Source organism: Homo sapiens, chromosome 7 (assembly GCF_000001405.40).
Source record: "Homo sapiens chromosome 7, GRCh38.p14 Primary Assembly".
Lineage (NCBI taxonomy): Eukaryota > Metazoa > Chordata > Mammalia > Primates > Hominidae > Homo > Homo sapiens.
The window spans coordinates 65,439,078-65,441,579 of record NC_000007.14 but is presented as its reverse complement, the minus strand read 5'-3'; the positions used below and the strand labels follow the sequence as shown (position 1 = coordinate 65,441,579).

The window sequence follows — 2,502 nt, the reverse complement described above, 5'->3', positions numbered from 1 at the left end:
GCTCAATAAACTTTCTGGAATGGATGATATCCCATGATTCCTTGTGATGAAAAGAGCAACAGCTAAACAAATATTCCTATTAGAGTTTTGTAAGGCCAATTTAGGGTTCTGCAGACTAAAGAGAACTGAAAATTCCCAGCTTCTAAATCAAAGATTGAAGGCTTGCCCCCGCCTAGCCATAGCTCCTTGATATGGCTCTTAATTAATAATCTGTTACATCCTCAAAAGGGGTCATTTTAAGGTAACCCAGAAGAGCTCCCATGACCTATTGACCTTGTTATGTCACCAAAAAGGAGCTTTTTGTCAAAGGATGGCAGACTACTTTTCTGTGATTCATGTATTACTCAGAAACCACTGGTTTCCTGGAATTAATAATAAAAATTCCAAATCCCCAGCAGTAACTTCCCAACCCCACAATTCTTGCTAACACAGCAGAGTAACACTTGGATTCTATACCAGGCCTACTGACCTTTTGCTAATTGTAAAATAAACATATCTTCCAGTTTAGAGGGGCCTTCTCCTTTTATGGGCTCCCTGCAGTGTAGGCACTGCTTGACTGGTATTTATTTCTGCCATATTTGCTTTCCAACACTTGTTCAGTGCAGGGGGCAGGTGTCTGGGGATGGAAGAAATAGGGATCAGAATAAGAGGAGAAAAGCAGGTGCCCCAACATCCTGACTGAAGTGCCCAGCTTATTATTCAGAAGAAGCTGAGGACCTAGGAAGATGTGTGCAAATGAAAATTTATTTTAAAAAAATTTCAAGCATTTCTGAGCCCTTATTCTTGTGCCTAGCCCTGCCCAGTAGGTAAAACGGACACATAAAAAGTGATAAGCACTGTTACAGAAGCATGAACCAAAGGCTTGGGGAAGCCCAGGGGATAGATAACTGCTCTCCACTGGCCAGTGCTAGTGATTGGCCCAGGAATATGGCAGGGAAAGACTGCAGTAGCACCATGAAGATGCTGCCACAGGTGGTGGGGCTCCTTCTCAGTTTTGCACATTTAGAAATTTAATTTTATGTGTTGCTGTAGGGCTAATCAGATTCAGGGGATTGACCCATGATAAATCAAAAAGACACATATTAATATAAATGATAAACTAGGGGCTGGGCATGGTAGTTCACACCTGTAATCCTAGCACTTTGGGAGGCAGAAGCAGGCAGATCACTTGAGCCCAGAAGTTTGAGACCAGCCTAAGCAACATGGTGAAACTGCATCTCTACCAAAAATGCAAAAATTAGCAAAGCCTGGTGGCACACGCCTGTAGTTCAGCTACCTGAAAGGCTGAGGTGGGAAGATTGCTTGAGCCCGGGAGGTCAAGGCTGCAGTGAGCCGTGATTGCGCCACTGCGCTCCAGCCTGGACGGCAGAGCAAGACCTTGTCTCAAAAATAAATAAATAAATAAAAATAAACTAAAATTGATTTACTATGTATTTAGTATATGCCAAGAGACGTTCTAAGTACTTTACATGAATTATCTCATTTAACACTCATGGCAACACTGTGAGTAAAGTAGTATTACCACCTTCAGTTTTTAAATAAACAGAGGCTCTGAAAGGTTATGACTTGCCCAAGCTGGTCAAGTTGGGATTCTTATAATAAAGTCTGTCTGATTCTAATGCCAATGTCCTTAACACCTACACTCACAGCCCCTCATTGTTTTATACTGAAAAAGAGAGCTGTTGGCTACTTTGTGCTTTCTTTCCCCAAGAAGGAAGATGATGGAAACTGAGTGAGGTCCTGAAGATTGTTTGATGAGTGCCAAAATCAGAACAAAGAACTCAATAAATATCTTACATGAATGAATACTTTAGAGTCCTCAAACTATGCTAGCCTAGTGAATTAGACTCTGTCGTCCCTTCACCATAGATCCCAGACATTAAGTTGACCAGTCAGGATACTCTTTTCCCCTCAAAACCCCAATGGTTAAGTTGAACTCTGCGTTGCTGCTTTTTCTGGCCTTAAATACACATAATTGGGCCCTGCTTGAACCCCAGTCTGCGACTAGGATCCTAAATACTATACTTACTCAATTTTTTCCAGCTTTCTTCTGAAAGCTGGATCCATCTACCAGACTGGTCCTCCTAGAACTAATGATACTCAGACTTATACCTGAGTTACCTATGTCCTTTGGACCACTCCACTATCCTAATCAAAGTTCATTAATATATTGATCTAACTTATCTTTACTGCGTACCTACCATGTACCAAGCACTGTGCTAGGGGCTTGGGATATAGTTTAAAAACACCTAGGTTTATCCATCAAGGTCTGGACAGGAAACAGATGGCACACTCAAACTGAGTAATCTGGGGAGCATTTCAAAAAGAGGCTATTTAGAAAAGTGTGGGTAGAGGATAGGAACCCCACAAGAGATGGGGTGGTACCTTAGAGATAGTAACAGCAGGGAGCCATTACCCCTCTAGGCCTGGAGGGCCAAGAAGAGGGAACAGTATGAAGAGGGTGGCTTTATAAGAGCTGTGATCTTCAGTAGAGGGACGCAG

At 42.3% G+C, this 2,502-nt stretch overlaps 1 annotated feature.

Moving 5' to 3' along the window:
- Positions 1,248 to 1,421: a silencer, noted in NCBI's record as "fragment chr7:64905072-64905245 (GRCh37/hg19 assembly coordinates)". NCBI's record gives its function as "represses an EF-1alpha promoter that drives an FKBP-Casp9 reporter gene in an ReSE screen in K562 erythroleukemia cells {active_cell/tissue: K562}" and the evidence as "EXISTENCE:reporter gene assay evidence [ECO:0000049][PMID:32094911]".